The 22,311-nt window shown below is 49.4% G+C and overlaps 1 annotated feature.

The window, feature by feature from the left end:
- Window positions 14,740-15,939: an enhancer, noted in NCBI's record as "P300/CBP strongly-dependent group 1 enhancer chr1:18200107-18201306 (GRCh37/hg19 assembly coordinates)". NCBI's record gives its function as "activates an origin of replication core promoter dependent on BRD2, BRD4, P300/CBP, MED14 and CDK7 cofactors, with strong dependence on P300/CBP, by STARR-seq in HCT116 cells {active_cell/tissue: HCT116}" and the evidence as "EXISTENCE:reporter gene assay evidence [ECO:0000049][PMID:35650434]".

Below are 22,311 nucleotides of genomic sequence, written 5' to 3'. Positions count from 1 at the left end.
GAGCATTTCCTGATCTCGTTATGTGGAACTGACCTCACTGTGCTTTGCAGCCCACAGCCCCCACAACAACCCCTCCAAGACGTTGACAGTGGTGATGGCATAATGTCACCTGTGCCATCGTCCTCATTAGAACCCGTAACCTAGTGTGCTTCAGGGTCCTCATCTGTGAAATGGGGCTATGGACAGTACCTGTCTCATTGCATTGTTTTGAGGGTTAAATCACTTACTATATGATATGGTTTAGCTACGTCCCCACCGAAATCTCAACTTGAATGGTATCTCCCAGAATTCCCATGTGTTGTGGGAGGGACGAGGGACCCAGGGGGAAGTAACTGAATCATGGGGGCCAGTCTTTCCCATGCTATTCTCATGAGAGTGAAAAAGTCTCATAAGATCTGATAGGTTTAGCAGGGGTTTCCGCTTTTGCTTCTTCCACATTTTCTCTTGCTGCCGCCATGTAAGAAGTGCCTTTCATCTCCCACCATGATTCTAAGGGTTCCCAGCCATATGGAACTGTAAAGTTCAATTAAACCTTTTTCTCTTCCCCAGTCTACGGTATGTTTTTTTTTTTTTTTTTTTTTCAGACAGAGTTTTACTCTGTCGCCCAGGTTGGAATGCAATGGCACCATTTCAGCTCACTGAAACCTCTGCCTCCCAGGTTCAAGTGATTCTCTTGCCTCAGCGACCCAAGTAGCTGAGATTACAGGCATGCGCCACCATACCCAGCTAATTTTTGTATTTTTAGTAGAGATGGGGTTTCTCCATGTTGGCCAGGCTGGTCTCGAACTCCTGACCTCAGGTGATCCTCCCACCTCGGCCTCCCAAAGTGCTGGGATTACAGGTGTGAGCCACCACACCTGGCCTCAAGTATGTCTTTATCAGCAGCGTGAAAACAGACTAATACACTATACAAACAGAGTACACAAAGTGCTCGACATATTTAGCTAGCTATTATTATTACTACTACTACTACTATTATTATCTTTGAAGCTCCAACATGGTTCTTAGCACAGAGGAGGCATTTATTATAAATGGCTAATGAATAAAGAGATGAATCAAGATCCCCACTTTACAGTTGGGGAACGTGAGGCTCAGCGGCGGAAGGAGAGGTGGGAGGTTGCATCCGTGGTCACTCAGCCAGCCTCCAGCAGAGAAAGATCTGATGCCACAGTCCAGGCTATTCCTGCAGTTCCTCAAGGCCCTGCTCACTGAGGCCAAGTCAACAGAAGGACCTGTTCCAAGGTCATGCACTGGTCAGCCGACTGTAGAACCAAGATCAGAGAGCGGGCCCCTGGCTACTGGGCAGATAGCAGCCTGCGGCCAAGCACAAGTGGCTTTCTGAGGTGATTTTATTGACCCCTGCTTCTCCCCGCGACCAGGCCTGGCCATTCCCCAACTGCCAGGAGCAGCGACAGGTGATGGAGCAGGAGGTGATAAACACATCCCCTGACTTCCGTGAACTCCCATCCAATTTGCCATTCCCGGGCTTATGCCAAGAGTGTTTGTGTTAATAAACCAAATGGGCTTTTCAGAGTCCACCCAGAGTGACTGATGGCAGAGGCAGCGTGCAATCCTGGCGGCTCCTTGGCCTCTTTCCTACTGAGCCAGGCGCCAGCTGCAGGGGGGAGGGGGCACAGGAGAGCACAGACTTCGGCTTCAAGTCACTTCAAGTCGCAGACTTCCAGAGTCGCCTGGGCCCAGGGACACTCTCCCAACACCCTCAATGTGCAGGTGAGGAAACTGAGGCAGGGGTAGAACAGGCAGGGGCATTGCTGGGACTAGAATCCGGGATTTCCAGGTCCCAGGTGCGTGTGGGTCAGGTCTGGGGTCTGGGGTGGGTGGTGGTGTTCTGATAAGCCGAAGACTACTGGGTGGAGAAATGAAGCAGGAGCGGTCGGAGCGAGGAATGGAAACCTGGAGATCAGATATTTGACAGGGGAGGGTGTTGGGAGGGGGTTGGGAGGGAGACACACCCCAAACCCAGCCCCAGAAGAAGAACTATTAAGCCTGCTTTAGGAGAGATTTAATTGTTCTTCAAAAATGATCTTTCTGAGAGCAATCTGACCCCCTGCAGGGACGGACTGTCCACCCAAGGGTCCCTCCTCCCCTCTCCCAGCCCCCTGCTCTCTCTCAGAGCCCATACCCCATTCCCTGAGCCTGGGGGCTCTTTTCTGGAATTTGTCCCTCATCTCCAGAGCCTACTGACATGGGCTCCAGTGCCAGCCCAGGGGATATCCCTGCCCACGTCCTGACATCCCCCAGCCACGCTGGCCACACCTTCTTCATGGCCCTGTTCCTGCCCCACGTGGGGTCCTGCCCAGGCTTCCTCTGAGCACGTGCCAGTCCACAGTGAGCCATGCACAGTGTGGGTGAAGGTGTGGGAGGCTAGAGAATCAAGATCCTCTCCAAGTCCCTATTTCTAACATCAGAGGGTCAAAAGGCAGTGACTCTGAGCTACCCTGTCCAGCCCCTCTGGAGGAGGTGACTGGAGGAAGCCCAGCCTGGATAATCCACAGGCCTGGGGTCACCTACGGAGAGGCCAGCAGGGACACTCGGGTAAGAACTGGGAAGCCCTGCAAGGCCTGTGTCCCTCCCAGCTGGGAAGGTTGGACTCATGAACTTTCAGGTCACACAACCCTCTGAGTGACCCCAAGTGGCTGCTGTTACATCCTCCAGGTGAGCCTCACCCTGGGGAAGCTTTGACCCCAGAAGTACCCCAGTGGAGCCCTGTTGGTTGCAGGGTGGAAAGGAGGGATCAGAGAAGGCCCACCCCACCGACCCCCTGCTCGCCCACCCCGACTCCTGCTTCAGTCGGGTCCAGTCTGCTTTTATCTTCTTTCTATAAAGCATTTCTGGGTGAGATTTTGTTTGAACAAAGCTTCCCTTCACTACAAACATTTTGCAAACCTCTGATCCAGCCCAGCCCCTCGTGTTAGACAGTGGAGGTCTGCAGTCAGGCGGCCTTGGGCTAAATCCTATTTATAACACTCCCTAGCCGGGGGTCTCTTTCCCAGTCTGAGCCTCAGTCTCTCTGTACAATGGAGAACTTCCCAGGCTTGCTCTACAAATGTAATTTTAGGAAACCTGGTGCATAGTAGGTTTTCAGTGACAGTGAGAAAATTCCTTTTCTTTACAAATGAGGAGCCCAAGGATGTACGAGGATGTCACTCATCTGCTGGTCACCCGAGGGTCAGTGGCAGTGCCCCTGGACTGGACACCAGCAAGCTAGCTCCCCACTGCATGCGCTGCCTACCCCACCCCATCTCCAGGCCCCTCCAGGGGCTGCAGCCTGCCCAGCCCTGCTGTGTGTGCAGGCCTCGGCCCCTCAGAGATCCTCATGGTGCTGACAAAGTGTGAGCACTAACCAGGCCCGACAGGCTTTCAAGAACAGAATGGGGCGGGAGAAGGATGGCAGGCAGGAGATAGCCAATAAGCCCACACATTGTTCATAGAGCCCATCTCGGCTGTTACTGCTGCTATTTAGCATTTAGATAACGCTCTATATTTCCACAGGGTTGGCTGCCTGAGCTTTCAGTAACCAGCCGGGGGGTTCAGATGCTGGTTCCAAGCAAAGACGAAAAATTGGGTGGAAGCTGCCTGTCTGTCTGTTGAACCTCACCCCATCTATCCACCCACTTATTCACCCATCCATCCACCCACCAATCCACCCATCCACCCATCTCTCCATCCTTCCATCCAACCACTCAACACATAATAGCAAAGCCCCTAGAATATTCCATGTCTTGCACTGAGGACATGGTGGTTAGACCCGACCCCTGCCCTCAAGGTGAGTACAGTCTAGAGAGAAAACTTACGTATTTACAGTCAGTGTGATAAGTCTAAGTCTAAGAAGCATAGGTGGCTGAGGGACACAAGCATGAGACACCCACATGATCTGGACAGGGAGGAGAGTGGGTGATAGCTGAGCAAAGGCTGAAGGATAATGAAGAGTTGGCAGTAAGTAAAGTGGAAAGACAGAGCATCCCAGGCACAGAGAATAGCTTGTGCCAAGGCCTGGAGAGAGCTGGGCATTTTGGGGGAACTACTAGGAGCTCAGGAGAGCTGTACCCTCAAGTGTGATGGGAGAAGGAGGTAAGAGGTGAGATGCAAAGGAGGTGACCAGGGGTCTCCACCTGAAGGGCTTCCTGGACCTTGGCAAATAGTTGGACTTCATCCTGAAGGCCAGAGGCAGATTTTCTGTGATTTTAAAGGACTCATCACCACCTACAGCAACATCTCCCCTGCCACACCCCCTCAGTAGGGATCAACTGCTTCTCACCTCCCAGCCTGAAGTAGCCTGGGCTCCCTTTCCTTGGTACTAAGCCCTGAAAGCTTGGCTCAGGGCTGCAGGGTTTGCTGTGTCCAGGAAGGTTTCCCTCTCCCCCTCCATTAACACACATTGTACCCATGCCTGAGGCCACACCATCAGCACCGTGGAGTAGTCACCAGGCAAAGCTATCACCAAGAGGTGACTACATTCAACTCTTCCCTGAGGTTGCTAAAACAGACATGGAGGGCAGTTTCTCCAGCAGTAAGAATGGATTGCATTGCAATATCCAGACCCTCTCACTACCTGCAGGGCCTCTGCACACTCTCCTTCCACCTGCCCATTACTAACAGGAGTAGTGCCCATGAAATTTGTTGAAGGCACAGTAATGAATGACCTGCATTTGACAGACATCCACTGAGTATCGGGCTATGGGCCTAATCCATGACCAAGGTTGAGGGGCAGTTTGACCAGGGTTAGGGTCAGCCATAAGAGATGACATCTATTAGAATAGAGGCTACCTGAGGACCAAGATATTGTCTGTCTAGGTCCCCACTGTAATCCTCAGGACATACAGCAATGCCTCCTGCTCAATAAATAGACACTGAATAAATGAATGAATGAATGAATGTTAACCAAGCTTCATGGAATAGCCAGGGCCCTGGCTCAGGGACAGCCTATGTCCAGTGGTAAGTCAGTCTGAGAAGCATGTTGGAGCCTTTCTGTAGTGAGCACCAGGGCCAGGGAACTGAACGAAAATCAAAGGACCCCCTTGGTAATCAAGCCACCATCTTGATTTCCCCAGCAATGGGTCCTGCTCCAGCCCCCAAACTCACTGACACCTCCAGCCCCTGGAGAACTAGTATACCATAAGACAACACCCATCCTTCACAGATGTCTGGCTCATGCAAACTTCCCCCCACCCCACCCCGCCACACATAAGAGCTGGTGACATCAGGTGTCTTTGGACCTCAAGTCCCAGCTGATCTGGTTGTGCTGTGTTGTCAGTGCCTCCCCATCATTGTAAGAACAAGGCCAAAATCCTTGACATGGCATCCAATGCCCTGCCTACCTCTGCAGCCCCTGCCTTACCACCTCAACGCTGGCCCAGGCTCTGTGCTCCAGCAACAGTGAACACCCTGCCATTTCCTACTTCCACGCCATAGTAGGCATGGTTCCTGCTCCATGCCATACGCTTTTCCTCCTTAAAAATATGGCAAATCATTACTTCTTCAAAACGCGTGTCCTTAAATAGTTGACCAATTCATTCCGACGTTCCTCACTGTCACAAAGTATGGTAATGACCAATTCTGTTTCTCTTTCCTGCCTTTTAAAAAATCTCCGTATCCCCAGCACCCAGCCCCAGGCTTGACACTCATCACCACCACCACCACCTCCATCACTACCACCGCTGTCATCATCACTACCACCATTGCCACCACCCCATCATCACCACTCCATCATTCCCACCACCACCTCCACCACCATCACTGCCATTACTGTCGTCACAACTGACATTCACTGAGCACTTACTGTGTGCCAGGCCCAGTGTGAAGGCATCCCCAGAAAGATCCCAATAAGGAGGACGGTCCTTTATCATTATCCCCATTGTACAGATGAACAGATCGAGGCTCCTAGCCATTTGGTAACTTGTTCAATAATTCAAATTCAAGCTGTTTCTTCCTTATCCAAACCAAGGTAAGAGCCTGGAGCCCAGGTAATCCAAAAAATTCCTTACAACATTGGTTCTGTTTGACTTTGGACTGTCTTGAAGAGGTCAACCACTTAGAAAGCCACTAATATCTGTGGACTCCAGACACTGCCCCAGGTACCACATCTTAGAATGTGAACCTTTGGGGCAGAGCTCCTGAAATGCCATCTGCCCCCGTGACCCGTAACCCCTGCTCCACCCCTGGGCTTAGATACAGCACCAGGCAGCTGACTTGCAGAGCCACTGATGAGGAGCCAACATCTACTCCGTACAGCCCCACCAGGTGCCACTCGCCTCCGGAAGGATGGATCCCAGCAGCAGCCAACTCCTCAGGCAGGCAGTTTGATGGATCCTACAGGAAAAGAAAACCTCCCAGACAGTCAGCTGGCACTCTCTGCTTCTCTCCATGTCTCTCCCTTACCCCCTAGGCTGGAGAGGGAGATGAGGAGATTCCAGGTGATGTCACCCTCCTGCCCAGCATCCCAACCTTCCCTGGCATTGTCCCCTCCATGTGCACAAGCCTACTGAGGCCTTCACAAGATGTCTCGCCCTCCCATGACCCCTACCCACAGTCCAGCCCAAGCATCAGGAAAGGGCCTTTATCCCAGCATCCTGCCAGTCCACCGAGACGGGCAGGGCAGCTCCGGGGACAGCTCCCATACCTCGCAATAGCACCAATAATCCCTTCATTTCAGACAGCACAAGACAGTTTATCACTCACCTCCACACCCATTTTCTCAAGAATATTGGGGGCCCCACTTCCTCCTAGAATCAGAGCCTATTACAGAAGCATCTGATGATCATACTTACGGTCTGGTGCCTTTCACTGACCCTCAGCATTGCACAGCAGTGATGAGAAGCACAATAAAAATAGAAGCAATAGGCCGGGCGTGGTGGCTCAAGCCTGTAATCCCAGTACTTTGGGAGGCCGAGGCGGGCGGATCACAAGGTCAGGAGATCGAGACCATCCTGGCTAACGTGAAACCCCATCTCTACTAAAAATATTAAAAAAAAAACTTAGCTGGGCGTGGTGGCGGGCACCTGTAGTCCCAGCTACTCGGGAGGCTGAGACAGGAGAATGGCGTGAACCTGGGAGGCAGAACTTGCAGTGAGCCGAGATCGCACCACTGCACTCCAGCCTGGGCGACAGAGCGAGACTCTGTCTCAAAAAACAAACAAAAAAAAATAAATTTTAAAAAATCGAAGCGATCTTCATTAAGCTCTTGCTTTGGGCCAGACATGTTCCAACTGCCTTGCAGGTATTCAATCATTTCATTCGCACATGAGCCCATAAACTAGAAACTCTCATCATCTCCATTTTACAGATGAGAAAACTGAGGCTGAGAGAGGCTAAGCCACCTGCTATAGGCCTCCCAGCTAGAAGGTGGCAGTGCCAGGATTACTTTTATATACCAGGAGGGGAAATGCCTTCTGCAGGTTTCATGTGTCCTGATAACACCCCCACTCACTTGCTGTGCACCCAGCCCCTCCCCGACGTTTCCCCTTTCTCCCCTCCCCCAGCCTCTGATTGGTGAGTCTGGAGAGGGCACCCCAGATGCGTGAGATGCCCACCCTCCTCCTCTGCCTGCAGAGGGCACTTGCCTGGCCCCAGTAAAGGGGTTAGGACTGGCATTGCCTGCTCTGCCAGGGTCTGGGCGGTAGGAGGCCTGCTGAAGACAAAGCCACCCGCTCCAGACAGCTTCATCAGCAATCAGAATGACGTTTGATCTCCCTCCCTCTGACACACGCATCTGTCTCTCAGTTGGTTCTAAACTTGGGAGCGGAACAAGTTGTTTGCTGTCTGCCCAGTAGTTACAAACACATAAATAAATAAATAGATTTTTTTTCGCCCCTATTGGAATTCACTGCCTTCTAAATATATCCCATTCTAAATATAAACTTTGCCATTCTCTTACACTCACCTCACATTTCATTTAATAGTAGAAATAGCAGTATTAATAATAAGACAGACCACCGCTGTTTGGTGTCTGCAGCACGCCAGGTGCCACGGTGTTACTCTCACACTTCATTTCACAACCCCCATACAAGGACACCCTCTTGGCCCCGGTTTGGCCAAATGAGGACATTTTAGCTCCAATAAGGCTTTCGCAAGGACACACAGCTGACAAGTGATGGATCAGAATTTGTAGAGGTTCAATTGTATCCCCCAAAATTCATGTCACCTGGAACCTCGGAATGTGGCCTTACTTGGAAATAGGATCTTTGCAGATCATCAGTGAAGCAGAGGTCATACTGGATTAGGGTAGCCTGTAAATCCAATGACTGGTGCTTTTTTTTTTTTTTTTTTTTTCCTGAGACGGCATCTTACTCTGTTGCCCAGGCTGGAGTACAGTGGTGCGATCTTAGCTCACTACAATCTCCATCTCCCTGGTTCAAGCAATTCTCCTGCCTTAGCCTCCCAAGCAGCTAGGATTACAGAGCATGCTACCACGCCCAGCTAACTTTTGTCTTTTTAGTAGAGATGGGGTTTCACTATGTTGGCCAGACTGGTCTCGAACTCCTCACCTCAGGTGATCCACCCACCTAGGTCTCCCAAGGTGCTGGGATTACAGATGTGAACCACCGCACCCAGCCTTGGTTTTTTTTGTTTTTGTTTTTAATTGAGACAGAGTCTCGTTCTGTCCCCCAGGCTGGAGTGCAGTGGTGCGATCTCGGCTCATTGCAACCTCCACCTCCCGGGTTCAAGTGATTCTCCTGCCTCAGCCTCCCAAGTAGCTGAGATTACAGGTGTGTGCCACCACGCCCAGCTAATTTTGGTATTTTTAATAGAGGCGGGGTTCACCATGTTGGCCAGGCTGGCGTCAAACTCCTGACCCTGTGATCTGCCCGCCTCAGCCTCCCAAAGTGCTAGGATTACAGGCATGAATCACCACGCCTGACCTGACTGGTGTGTTTAAAAGGACAGGAAGGCTTGTGGAGACACAGAGAAGGCCAAGTCATGACAGAGACAGAGACTGGCGCGATGCAGTGACAAGCCAGGGGACGCCAAGCATTGCCGACAGCCCCCAGAAGCTGGAAGAGACCAGGAAGGATTCTCCCCTGGAGCCTTCAGAGGGAGCATGGCCCCGCCCATACCTTCACTTCAGACTTCCAGCCCCCAGAACTGAGAGAGAATCAATTTCTATTGTTTTAAGCCACCCAGTTTGTGGTATTTTGTTATGAAGGCCCCAGGAAACAAATACAGAATCCAAGAGTGACTATTCCGATGCCTCCTCCGTGCAATCTTCCCTTCCCACAGTTAGGGTCCCACAATATCTCTTTGTGCAGTCAAATAAGTATTTCCTGACAGTCAGTAGGTGCCAGGGGACTGAGGACACAGAGAATATATGGCCCCTCACTCAAGGGGCTCACACATCAGACACTGACAGTATAGCTTTCTCCCATCCTGGGTGCTTGGCTTATGGTGGGGAATAGGCAGGAAGAGGCTGGATGGATTTTGACAGGTCTTGCTTTGGAGTCTTGGCCACTCTCTGGCTGCATGGCCAAAGGCAGGTCACAGCTCACCTCTCTGAACCTCCATTTTCTCATCTGTAAAATGGGGGCACTTATACCAATCTGCCTTCTTCACATTAGGTGAGGGATGTGGAAACACTTTAGCCACCATGTCTGGCTGCAGGACAGGGTGAGTGTGTGCGTATCTGAGCATAACTGTGCAACGCTATGCTTCCGAAAGGGGAGATAAAGTCCTGGTGGCCAGTAAGTAGGGCTTGGTTCCTCTTATTCTTTGTATCTTTCTGTGTGCAGAAATATTTCTTAGGAAATTCAGAAGAGGAAGAGAGAGAGCATGGTCATGGAGGGTGTCAGGGCTGCGAAGTTCTGCCCTGGGTACATCTGTGCTCTCCCCAGACAACAGCGCCTTTGGGAGCACAGAGCCATCCTCAAAGGGCAACTGGAATCTCAAACAGACAGAGCCACACAGGAAAGGAAAGGCCCACGGGAAGAAGGCACATTTGGATCTGTCACCAGGTCCTGCCACCATCAGCTGGCAGATTTGTTTCTCCTGCCTTGGCGGCCAGCATCGGCCATGCCAGGGACTGTTCAGTAGCCCTGAGGTTTGTCAGAAGCCACATCTGATCGCTGCCATCAGCTTCCAGTCAAGTAGAGGGGAAAAAAGACCCACAAGATCAAACAAGACTCCTTTGAAAACTGCTGTTTTCAAACGGGAAGCCTTGGAGTGCAGGCACCAGAGCATGAGCTGGTGGCTGCCTCGAAGTTGGAGCATTTTCCTTGTAGATTCTGAGATGATGGAGAGAATGGGGTCCCAAGAGTGCTAGGGGAGGGCATGTCCAGCCCGGAGAGGGGAGTTGGCAGCTCCTGGTACCACTAAGCCAGGTCTGAGCAGGGCACCCCTCTTCAGAGCCTCTGAACCACTGCTGGGCAGCCCAGCCTCCAGGGCCAGGTCAGGGCAGCTCATGGAGGTCACACTGTCCTGCCTACAGGGCTGGTAACCGTGCCTTCATGGGAGTGTGACTTCACTCCCTGAATCAGAGTCCAAAAGAAAGATGGATGTGGTTGACTCAGCCCCTCAGGCACTCACGAAAACTCAGCCCCAAGTAGGCCTGGCAAAAATCATGTGGGTGATTTAATTCAATCCAATTCAACCACTGTTTATTAAGTGAACAGACAGCAAAACATGGAAGCTAAGAAGACGGACTGTGGAGCCAGGTGGACTGGGTTTGAATCCTAGCTGCAATGCTTGGACTAGTCACTTAGCCTCTCTGAGCCTCAGTTTCCTCATCTGTAAAATAGGAAGGGTAATAGCACTTACTTCACAGGACGGCATGAGCATGAAATTAGTTAACAACTGTAAACCACTTGGCTGGGCATGGTGGCTCACACCTGTAGTCCTAGCACTTTGGGAGGCCAAGGTGGGCAGATCACCTGAGGTCAGGAGTTTGAGACCAGCCTGGCCAACATGGCAAAACCCCGCCTCTACTAAAAAATACAAAATTAGCCAGATGTGGTGGCACACACCTGTAGTCCCAGCTACTCAGGAGGCTGAGGCAGGAGAATCACTTGAACCCAGGAGGCGGAGGTTGCAGTGAGCTGAGATCACGCACTGCACTCCAGCCTCTGTGACAGAGTGAGATTCCACCTTCAAAAAAAAAAAATTATAAAGCACTTAAAGTCTTTTCAGGCGTATAGTAAGTGCTAAATAAGTGCTCCATAAGGGCTTTGATAAATGAGGCAGTGTGGGGCAGTGGTATGAACACAGGCCCTGGACATCCTACCATGCACCCACACACAGACACCTGGGTCTGGAGAGAAGAAACGCCTGCTCCACGGGGGCACAGCTCAAAAGCTATCAAGGCAGGATTTGAACCCAAAAAGGCCAATTCCAGAGACCCCCCCCTCCCTCCTCCCTTAATCATTAAGTTGCAGAGATTCCTCCTGTTCAGTTCAGTATTTTCCCTGGGGAGCTGAGCCCACAGCCTGGCGCATGGAAGACACTTGGTAAATACCAAAGGAATGAAAGCCTGGCAGTTGCATCAACAGCCCTTCTTTCGCTCTTTATGTGACCTTGGGCGTGTGACACAGTCTGTCTTAAGTGTCAGTTTCTTTGTGTGTAAAAGTATGTGTCCGAATATCCAATTCACAGGGCTGTTGGTGGGAACCAAATGAAAGCTTGGATGCAAACACGCCTGGTGGGGTGTCTGACAGTCCAGGTTAAATAAATCTCACCTTGATTTTATTTCATTTGCTGGATTTTGTGTTCAGTTCCACCCAAGGACCCACAGAGAACATAAGAGAAGGAGAAAATGTATTCTTGTCCTGAAGGGCTTTACGCAAGACAGAGAAGTAGGAAGCTGTTCGTTTAGAGGACAAGCTACAATTAGGTGTTGAAGCAGAAGTCCCCTGGGAGTTCAGAGAGCACCTTGTGGACTGCAGCAGTCTGGAGGGCCTCTGGGAGGAGGTGTTTGAAAGAGCCATCCACCTCATTATCTGCCACATGAAGGGCCTCGTGGATCACGTTCCCACTAGGCAAGACTGGACCGGCAATGTGGGTGAGGACATGAAAACGCTGCCTCAAGGTTTGAAACCCACTGCCTCTGAGGGGAGAAAGAGGCTCTCAGCACTTCTCTTGGATCAAAGGATCAGGGATGGCAGCGGAACCAACTGGAGTGCTGGCAGCGGGCGAGGCTGAGTGAGTGATGTTCAAAACCGCACACTTTGGGTCCAGACATTGATATCCTTCCAGAAAGTGCCCTGCATGGATGTGAGGGAGAACAAAAGGATGGAGGAGAGAGAAAATGCTCAGCTGGGAGAGTCAACCCAAGGCCTAAATGAGCCAATTCCATGATGTTCCAGCAGTAAGGAAATCTGAGCATCACCAAGTCACACATTTCAGGCCTGGACAGTTTGGCAAGGTCATTCCATCCCGGCAAACCCTCCGCCATACCTGTGTGTCTGGCATCCTCACTGAATCAGGAAAGGATGCTGACACTCAGAGTTTCTGAGCACTGTTCAAGTTCATGGCGATGCATAAATGCCCAGAATCTAGTTTCCTCCCCAAACTGCACCCCATGTGCAATTAACTCCACCCTCAGCCCCATGAGTGAACATGTGCTGGGCTGACCAACCCAAACACTGCTACCCACCCGGACACAGTAATTCATTCTGGTATAAGCTCACAAATTTAAGTGATGAGATACAAGGTCTGGGACTGCATTAAAACTATTAAGAGGGTGGTATATTTTCTGCTGGCCTTAAACCTAGGACCCTCCGGATCTCTCCGTGTTCTAGAGTTGCCGGCAGCTACGTTGCTATCCCATGGGCCTGAAGAATGAAGCCAGCAGAGAAGCAAGCAGAAGAGACAGCTGGAGAGAGAAGAGGTCCTGATGGTATCTGTAACAGTCAGAGAAATGCTAGTTGCTGTAACAAATAAACCCTCAAATCCTAAATAATAAAAATTTATTTCTTGGCCTTGGTGGCTCATGCCTGTAATCCCAGCACTTTGGGAGGTTGAGATGGGAGGACTGCTTGAGCCCAGGAGTTCAAGATCAGCCTGGGCAATATGGCAAGACCTCATGTCTATTAAAAAATATATTTTTTTAAAATTAAATAATTAACTGGGCATGGTGACACACACCTGTGGTCCCAGCTACTTGGGAGGTTGTAGTGGGAGGATTGACTGAGCCAAGGAGGTTGAGGATGCAGTGAGCCGTGATTGCACCACTGTACTCCAGCCTGGGCAACAGAGTGAGACCCTGTCTCAAAAAAAATGTATTTCCTGCTCACATAATAGTCTTACATGGATCTCTCTGGTAATTCAGGATCCAGGATCCTTCTACCTTGTGCTTCACCCACCCCTTGTGCCTTGGAGTTCTCTAAGTTCCACCCTTGGGGGAAGTTGGAATGCAGGAGGCATATCTGCTCCTTAAGCTCCCTGGTCTGGAAGTGAGTCACATGCCACCTCTACCCTTTTCTATTGGTGAGAACTGGTCATGGTCACACCTAAATACAAGAGGTGCTAGGAAATGTAGTTCCTGGCTGGCAGGCCAGCTGCTTCTAAGCAACAGCCTACACCATAACAGAAGGAGCCTGAGCTCTCGGTGACCGGCCAGCCACCTCCACATCACGGAATGCTTCCCTCCGGCAGCTCCTGGAGCCTGCTTCACCCCCTGATCTTCTTCACTTACATAAGTTATTAAATTTTCTATTCCTACTTAAGCCAGTTTAGGCTGAATTTTATGTTATTGGTGCCCAGAGAGTCCTAACTAACAGATTCCTGCAGCCCATTTGTGCAGATAAGACCAAAACCCAGTTCTTGCTTTCCCCAGTCCAGTGCCTGTCCTACGATACCCTGCAACCTCCCCCAGCAAAGCTCCATGGCCTAGGCCACACCCCAGGGAATCAACTAATAACGCAGTCATCCCAAGGAAGAAGGGGAATGGTCAAGACCACGTGCAGAAGCCAGTGATTCAGCTAAAAGTCCATCACCAGTAAGAGAGTTAGTCTGAAACATGTTAGATGCTCTTTTTTTTGTCATTAAACAAAGGGTAAGTTATATGACCCAGGACAAGTTATTAAGTTGAACCACATGAAATACCCAATATACAACCATTTTCTGACCTACAAAAATGGTAACCTCATATGGTTCAACCTGACCCTTCACCTTCTTGTGAAATAGAGGTCATGATCCTCATGGTAAGGATTAAGCTGATAACCAAAATGACATTACAAACCACAGATGGGCTGCCCAGAGCAACAGGATGACAGTGAGTGCCTTGCCAAGGGCATAGAAATCAGCTACTGGGGAGAGGGAACAGAGAATGAAAGTAAGGATAGGCCAGTTGTTGGAAACTTGAGATCTGTCCTTGTCTCCCAAATAGAGAACTCGGACCTGAAGGTGGGATCTCAGTCTTCCTCCCGGTGTAATGGGAATAACATCTGCATGGTGCCTTTCCTGAGCCAGGCTTGCTTTTCTGGCCCATCCCTGGAGGAAGTCAGAAAGGCCAGGAAGCTGTGTCCCTGATGCTGGGCCCCACAGCCAGCAGGAGGAAGGGACGGTGGGTGACAGCCCTCATTGCTGAAGCAGGCCTCATCCCAGAGGCTGGATTTGGCAGGATTGTTCCAGAAAATGGCTCAATTCCCTCTGGTTTTTGTAGTACAAACAATCCCAGACAAGTCTTAGAGGGAGGGGGAAAAAAGAGTAATTTGTGTGGTGTAAAAAAACGTGAAGCATTGAGCGTGGCCTCACAAAGGCATTTGCATTTCTCAACAAGAAACCGCTGCTGCAGAGTGGCTGTCACTTAGTTATCTTGTTAACTCCCTCCTGCCCCAGGCAGGCGAGACAGCAGGCTCTTAGCTCCCAGGAAGCCTGGGGCACAGAAGGAGAGGCAGATAGATGGCAGCCCTGAAGAACGGAGTTCAAATCCAGCTTTGTCACTAAGAATGGAGGTGCCCTTGCGTCATCTCTTCAGTTACCCCTCATCTCTGTAAAATGGGGGGGTTGGATTAGATGACTGCTATGGGACTTCTAGAAGTAACAGTCCATGGTTATACCTGAGAGTCCAGACACCTGCACTTATTCTAATTGTGAACCTGGCATTGACTTACCAGGTGGCCTGAACATAACCATTAGACTCCTCAGAGCTCAACACTGGAAGGCATCTGTGGTATGAACTGATTCAGCCTCTGATTCCCCCTAAACCCCTCCCTAGCATTCCTGAAAGATGACCATCTGGCTTCTGTTGGAATACCTCCAAAGATGGGGAGCTCACTTCCCTGGACCAGGAGGAAGACATCCTTTCTATTGCCAGCTCGCTCCACAAGTTACAAAGTCTTTTCATAGATATGAGCTCAAATCCACTTTCATGAAACCCCTGCCCAAAGGGAGGCCCAGGAAAGCCCGGTGGACAATTGGAATCCGACAGGTGTGTGTGCCCATCCCAGCTAGGTGAGCTGCAGTGCCTTCATCCCTCCATGTCTTAGTTTCTTCATCTGTGAAATGAAAACAATAATTCTGCTTACCTCTAAGGTTGTTGTGAAGAAGCTTCGAGCTGGTTACTCAGCACGGTGCCGGCTACATGGCAGTTGCTCATGGATGTCAGCTATGTTAGTAGTGATCGTACATTGGGGGGGGTCTCCACCAGTGTCCCCACCCTGACACTCAGAACACATGATATTAATAAGTGGGGAGAGGGAACAGAGAATGAAAGTAAAGATTTGCCACCTGTTGGAAACCTGAGATCTTCCCTTGTCTCCCAAATAGAGAATTGGGACCTAAAGGTGGGACCTCAGTCTTGCCACCTGTGTAATGGGAACAGCATTTCTGCATGGTGCCTTTCCTGAGCCAGGCTTGCTTTTCTGGCCCATCTCTGGCCCCCTGGAGAAAGAAGACAGAAAGGCCACTTATTCACTTAATCATGCAGTTATAATCTGCAGCCAGGGAGGAGGGCGAATGGGTACAGGCAACTCCCCAAGAGTCCCTTAACTGTAACTCAGCTGTTTCTGTCCTCCCTAGAAAGCCCATGAGTGCAAGTGAGGGCTGAGCACAATCATCTGGGGACAGCCTGGCCTCTAACTTTTTTTTAAAGCAAATCATTCATGCAAACTGGCACTTGTGGTGGACTGGACATCAGTCATCATCCTTCATGCCCTCCCCCTATAAAATTATACCTCCACACGCTGTGTCATGTACCCTCGCACAACCACCCATTAGAAAAAGCAGAGTGAATCTCTTCCTTCCCCATGGATATTGGGTGTGGCCATGTGACGTGATCTGGCTGAGGGCTTGTGGGTGGGAGCAACAGTGTGCCAGTTCCAGGGCGAAGCCTGCATCGTGCACCATGTTTCTGCCCACTCCCTTGTACCCTGGTAATCGAGCCTGAGAACAGCACGCCCTGACAGCTGCTGGCCCTCAGCCCAAGTCCCAGAAGGAGCACAGGGGAAGCAGACCTGAGCCAAGCCTGCAGCCTGGAGCCCAGCCCACCTGACCTGCAGGCAGAAACAGAGCCATGGGACAGGCCCATCTTAGACTCATGAACCCTAGTACTGTGAGCTTGAGAAGAAATGCCTATCATAGTAGTCCAACTGAGTTTGAGGGGGATTTGTTATGCAACCCTATTGTGGCAAGAGCTGGTGCCTTATTATCCATCGGTAGCAGGTGACTTATGGCACCCCAACTTATTGAGACACCTACTGAGTCCCACAACCACTGCTGAACACCCAGACTTCATTTCCAGTCCTTCCAAAGAACAGTTTCTTGTAGGGTGTTCCCGGTCTGATGGGAGAGAACAAAGTCTCCTTGAAAATATCCAAGTCCACCCGGCAAACTTAAACTTGCATGACAGCCTGGCTTCCTGTCATCTCCCAATTCTGGTGCACCCCAACCCCAGCCCCTGGACTTCAACTTTCACACTGATATCATCAAAAGGATGAGAGAACTTGTGGAAGTTGATTGGTTGGTTTGGAAGATCCACAATACAGTCCCTCTTGAGTGCTCAGGTAGTCTCAATTTCCAGTGAATGTTCACATCCAATAGGTGGGAGTCCAGCTCCAAGATGGCCCCAGTGGTCCCAACCTTCTGGTGTTCATATCTTATATGGCCCCCTCCCACATTGCACCAGGGTTGTTCTCTGTCACCAAAGGACAAGGGGTGGCACAATACTTCTAAGACAGTGATGATATGGTACCATATTTGTTCTATGACTGACGGAACAAGTGATGGCGTGACACCCTTAAGGTTGCAAAAGACACTGCCATCCTTACAAAGATCCCTGTGGGCTTCTTTTTAGAAATTAACAAGCAGATCCCAAAATTTATATGGAAATGCTAAAGAGGTAGAACAGCAAAAACAATTCTGAAAGACAACAGAATGAAAGAACGTATACTACCTGATTTCGAAACTTACTATAAAGCCACACAAATCAAGATAGTGTGGTATTGCCACAAAGATAGGCACACAGACCAACAGAATGGAATTAAGAGTCTAGAAATAAATCCTTACATTTATGGCTAATTGATTTTCAACAAAGGTCCTAAGACATTCCAGTGGAGAAACAATCATCTTTTCAACAATTGGTGCCAGGATAATTGGATATTCACATGTTAAAAATATCAATTGATACCTTTACCTTATACCATACACAAAAATCAACTCAAAACAGATCCTAGGCCTGAAAGTTAGAACTAAAACTCTAAATATTTTAGAAGAAAACATAGGAAAAAAAATTTTATAACCTTGGGTTGGACAAAGAATTATTATATATGACAGCAATAGCATGATCGATGTAAAGAAAAATTGATAAATTGGACTTCATCAAAATTAACCACTTTCACACTTTAGAAGATACCATTAAGAGAATAAAAAGAAAAGCCACAGACTGGGAGAAAATATTGCAAATCATATATCTGATTGTGGGCTTGTATCCAGACTATATAAAGAACTTTGGCCGGGTGCTGTGCCTCATGCCTGTAATCCCAGGACTTTGGGAGGCCTAGGCAGATGGATCACCTGAGGTCAGGAGTTCAAGACCAGCCTGACCAACATGGTGAAATCCCATCTCTACCAAAAATACAAAAATTAGCCCGGCGTGGTGGTGCATGCCTGTTATCCCAGCTACTCGGGAGGCTGCGGCACGAGAATCGCTTTAACCCAGGAGGCGGAGGTTGCAGTGAGGCGAGATCATGCCATTGCACTCCAGCCTGGGCAACAAGAGAAAAACTCTGTCTCAAAAAAAAAAACAAAAAACAAAAAACAAAAAAAAAAACTTTGATAACTTAGTAATAAGACAAAAAATCCAATAGGCAAAAGATTTCAATACATATTTCATTAAAGATAATATACAAACAGCAAACAAGCACATGAGAAAATGCTCAACATAATTAATCATCAGGGAAATGCAAATAAAAACCACCATGAGATACCACTACACATCTGCTGGAACGACTTTAATCAAAAAGACAGATAATACCAAGTGTTGAGGATATAGAGGAAGCGCAACCCTTATGCATTGCTGGTGGAAATTTAAAATGGAAAACAATTTGGCAGTTTCTTATAAAAGATAAACAATAATTTGTCAAGACCCAGCAAGCCCACTCCTAGGAATTGACCCAAGAGAGATGAAAACATGTCCACAGAAAGATTTGCATGTGAATGCTCATAGCTATGTCATTCATCACAGGCAAAAACTGGAAATACTCTAAATGCTCATCAACAAACCAATGGGTAAACAAAATGTGGTATATCCATTCAACAGGATGCTACTTGGCAATAAGAAGAAATAGCTCTTGATCCCTGCAACAACATAGCTGAACCTCAAAAACATTTTGCTAAATGAAAGAATCCAGAAAGAAAACATTGCCTATTCTATGATTCCATTTCAACGAAGTGACCAGAAAAGGCAAACCTGTATAGACAGAAAGCAGAACAGGCCAGGCACAGTGGCTCATGCCTGTGAGTCCAGCATTTTGGGAGGGCAAGGCAGGAGGATCACTTGAACCCAGGAGTGTGAGACCAGCCTGGGCACAGAGGGAGATCCCTTCTCTACAAAAGAAAATTTAAAAATTAGCCGAGTATGGTGGTGCATGCCTGTAGTCCCAGCTACTTGGGAGATAGAGGCTGGAAGATCCCTTGAGTCCGGGAGGTGGAGGCTGCAGTGTGCCATGATCATGCCAATGCACTCCTGCCTGGGCAACAGAGCAAGACCCTGTCTCAAAATAAAAATTAAAAAAAAAAAAACAGAAAGCAGAAAGCAGAAGAGTGGCTGTCTAGGGCTGAGAGTGGGAACAGGTATTTACTGTAAGTGGGCACAAGGAAACATTTAGGGATAATGGGAATTTCCTAAAACTGGTTGTGGTGATGGCTGCACAACTCTATAAATTTATTAAAACCACTGGCGGGGGGAAAGACCTCACAGCTGCCCCTGCATAGCTCTTGCACTTTCTTGACCATTTGTTGCCCACTGCTGTGTCACTTGCAACCCTGTGGAAAGGTCCAAGTCATGAAGAAGTGAAGCCTCCACAAAGCCAGGAGGAAATGAGGCTGCCTGGAATAGCCATGTGAGTGCGCCACATTGGAAGCAGCTCCCCTGGGTCCAGGCAAGCCTTTGATGACTACAAGGCCTGCTGACGTCTTGACTGAAAAAACCTTCAAGAGACTCTGAGCCAGAATCACCCAGCTGAGATGCTCCCAGTACCCCACCCTCAGAAACTGTGAAAGAATATATGTTTGCTGTTTTAAGATGCTAATCTTGGGGTCATGTGTTACACAGCCATAGATAACTAACATGCACTATCTCATGGTGACCCTCATAGCCTAAATTTTAAGTAGATATCTGTATCCACATTACAGAGGTACAGAGACTGAGGCCCAGGGGTTGGTCCAAGATAATACAGCTTAGCAAGAGATAGCGCTGGGGCTTAAACCAGCCTGACCCCAGAGCTGTGGTCTTTCCACCACACTTCTCTAAGCATCCCGGACCAGGCCCCTTGGGAGATCCCAAGAAAGGAGGAAAAGTTGGGATCTCTGCCCTGCAGGACCTCCCAGGCTGATAGGGCAGGCAGGGGAGCAAAGCAGAGGGTCCTCTCAGTCACGCTGAATGACGGTCCCCCACCTGCGGCTCCCTGTGGCTCCCGTTCAGCACCACAGCTGCCAAACCCATTTCATTCAATTCTGCAAAGAGCTCAGAACACCCTGAGTGGGGGTTCCTGCCTCTCCCTCGAAGCAGAGAGCAGCGAAATTGGACAGTAATGTGTTGTCGTTCAAATATTTCAGCTGGAGCTGGGGTGAATTATGATGCCATCCCACTTTATTCAGTGTAGCATCTTTCATAAGAGCCGTGTCTCAGAAACACTTTGGAGAAGGAAATAATAAATAATTGCCCAAGGGGACAAAGCAAAGATGAAAAGCTCCAGGCTGTTGGGGAGGGGAGGAGAAACTCTGACTTGAGGAGCTGGTGTGTCCAGGGAGCCCAAGCTGGGCCCTGGGCCCCGGCAAGCCAGCCTTGGGCTTGAGTGCTGGGTTCTGGATGCTTCTGGGACCTCCAGGAGGCAAGGCCACAGGGCCCCCACACCCCAGGACTCCACAGAGACTGCCCTGCTGTCAAGGAGTCCTAGAGCTCCCTCCATCGGAGCTAGGCCCCCTGGATAAGCGACCTGTTTGTAGAGACAAGGTGCTCACTCTACTCTGAGCTGTCAGTCAAGGCACAGGTCCTCACTCTGAGCCACAGAGCCCTACACAGTCTCACTCCCATTACTCCCCTGACCTTCTCTGAGAAGGTCCCTAAAACTCTGTTCTTCCCGCACCAGCCCCACTGATCTCCTTGCTGTTCTTTCAACATGCCAGGCACATGCCTGACCCAGGACCTTCGCACTGGCTGTTCCATTTGCCTGGAACACTCTTCACTCAAATAGCCATATTGTCAACTCCCTCACCTCCTTCAAGTCTTTGCTTAAATGTTATTAGATTGGTGCACCAAACCTAATACCTTCTTGGTTAGGCCTTGTGTTAGTCCACTTCATGTCATTATAAGGAATACCTAACTCTGGATAACATAGAAAGAAAAGAGGGTTATTTGGCTCACAGTCCTGCGGGCTGTACAAGCATGGCGTTAGCATGTGCTCAGCTTCCAGTGAAGCCTCAGGAAGCTTTTACTTCTGGCAGAATGTGGAGAGGAAGCAGGTGTGTCACTTGGCAAGAAAGGGAGCAAGAGAGAGCAAGAGAGAAGGGAGGAGGGGCCAGGCTCTTTTAAACAACCAGCCCTCGCATGAACGAATAAAGTGAGAACTCACTCATTATCATGAGGATAGCACCAAGCCATTCATGAGGGATCCACCGCCATGACTCAAACACCTCCCACCAGGCCCCACTTCCAACACTGAGGATCACATATCAACATGAGATTTGGAGGGAGCAAATATCCAAACTATATTAGGCCTACTATTATTGCCCTATTTAAAATTGCTTTTCCCTTTTCCTTTCTCTTGATCACCCTTACCGTGCTCTGTCCTCCCGGCAATATGATACCTCTCACCTTCTCACACACTCTGCAATGCACGGATTCTTATGATTATAATCCGTCTCCTCCTGCTGCTGTTTCTGGATTCTTTCACTTAGCAAAACGATTTTGAGGATCATCCATGCCGTTGCGTGGATCGAGTTTATTCCTAGGAGTTTGAGACCAGCCTGACCAACAAGGTGAAACCCTGTCTCTACTAAAAATACAAAAATTAGCCGGGCGTGGTGGCACATGCCTGTAGTCCCAGCTACTCAGGAGGCTAAGGCAGGAAAATTGCTTGAACCTGGAAGGCTGACGTTGCAGTGAGCCAAGATCGCGTCACTGCACTCCAGCCTGGACAACAAGAGGGAAACTCCATCTCAAAAAAAAAAAAAAGTTTATTCCTTCTTACCGCTGAGTAACATTCCGTTGAATGGATATACCACATTTTGCTTACCCATTCTTTTGTTGATGGATGTTTCGATTGTTTCCAGATTTTGCCTGTGATGACACCTCTCACCTCTCACACACACTATGATGTACATGTTATTAGGATCAGAATCCATCTCCTACTGCAAGGGCAGCGCTTTTGTTCCCACATGGTGCCTGCCACACCCTCAGTGCTCTGTCAACATTTGTTGAGTGAATGCAGGCATGTACCAGTGGACCCTCGAGCATCACACTTACAGGTAAGGACATGCATGTTCCTACCTGTGGGTCCATCTGCAGAGGCTCTCTGACTTGGAAGACCTGTCTCAAAATGGGTAAAGTCCCAGGCCTGACCCTCCCTAGATTTTAATCCTAGCTCTGCCATGGGCTGTGAGGCCACCTTGGGCAAGGCATGTTGCCTCTCTATGCTTCCAAGTCCT

This window comes from Homo sapiens, chromosome 1 (genome assembly GCF_000001405.40).
Source record: "Homo sapiens chromosome 1, GRCh38.p14 Primary Assembly".
Lineage (NCBI taxonomy): Eukaryota > Metazoa > Chordata > Mammalia > Primates > Hominidae > Homo > Homo sapiens.
This window is presented reverse-complemented; position numbering and strand designations above follow the sequence as displayed.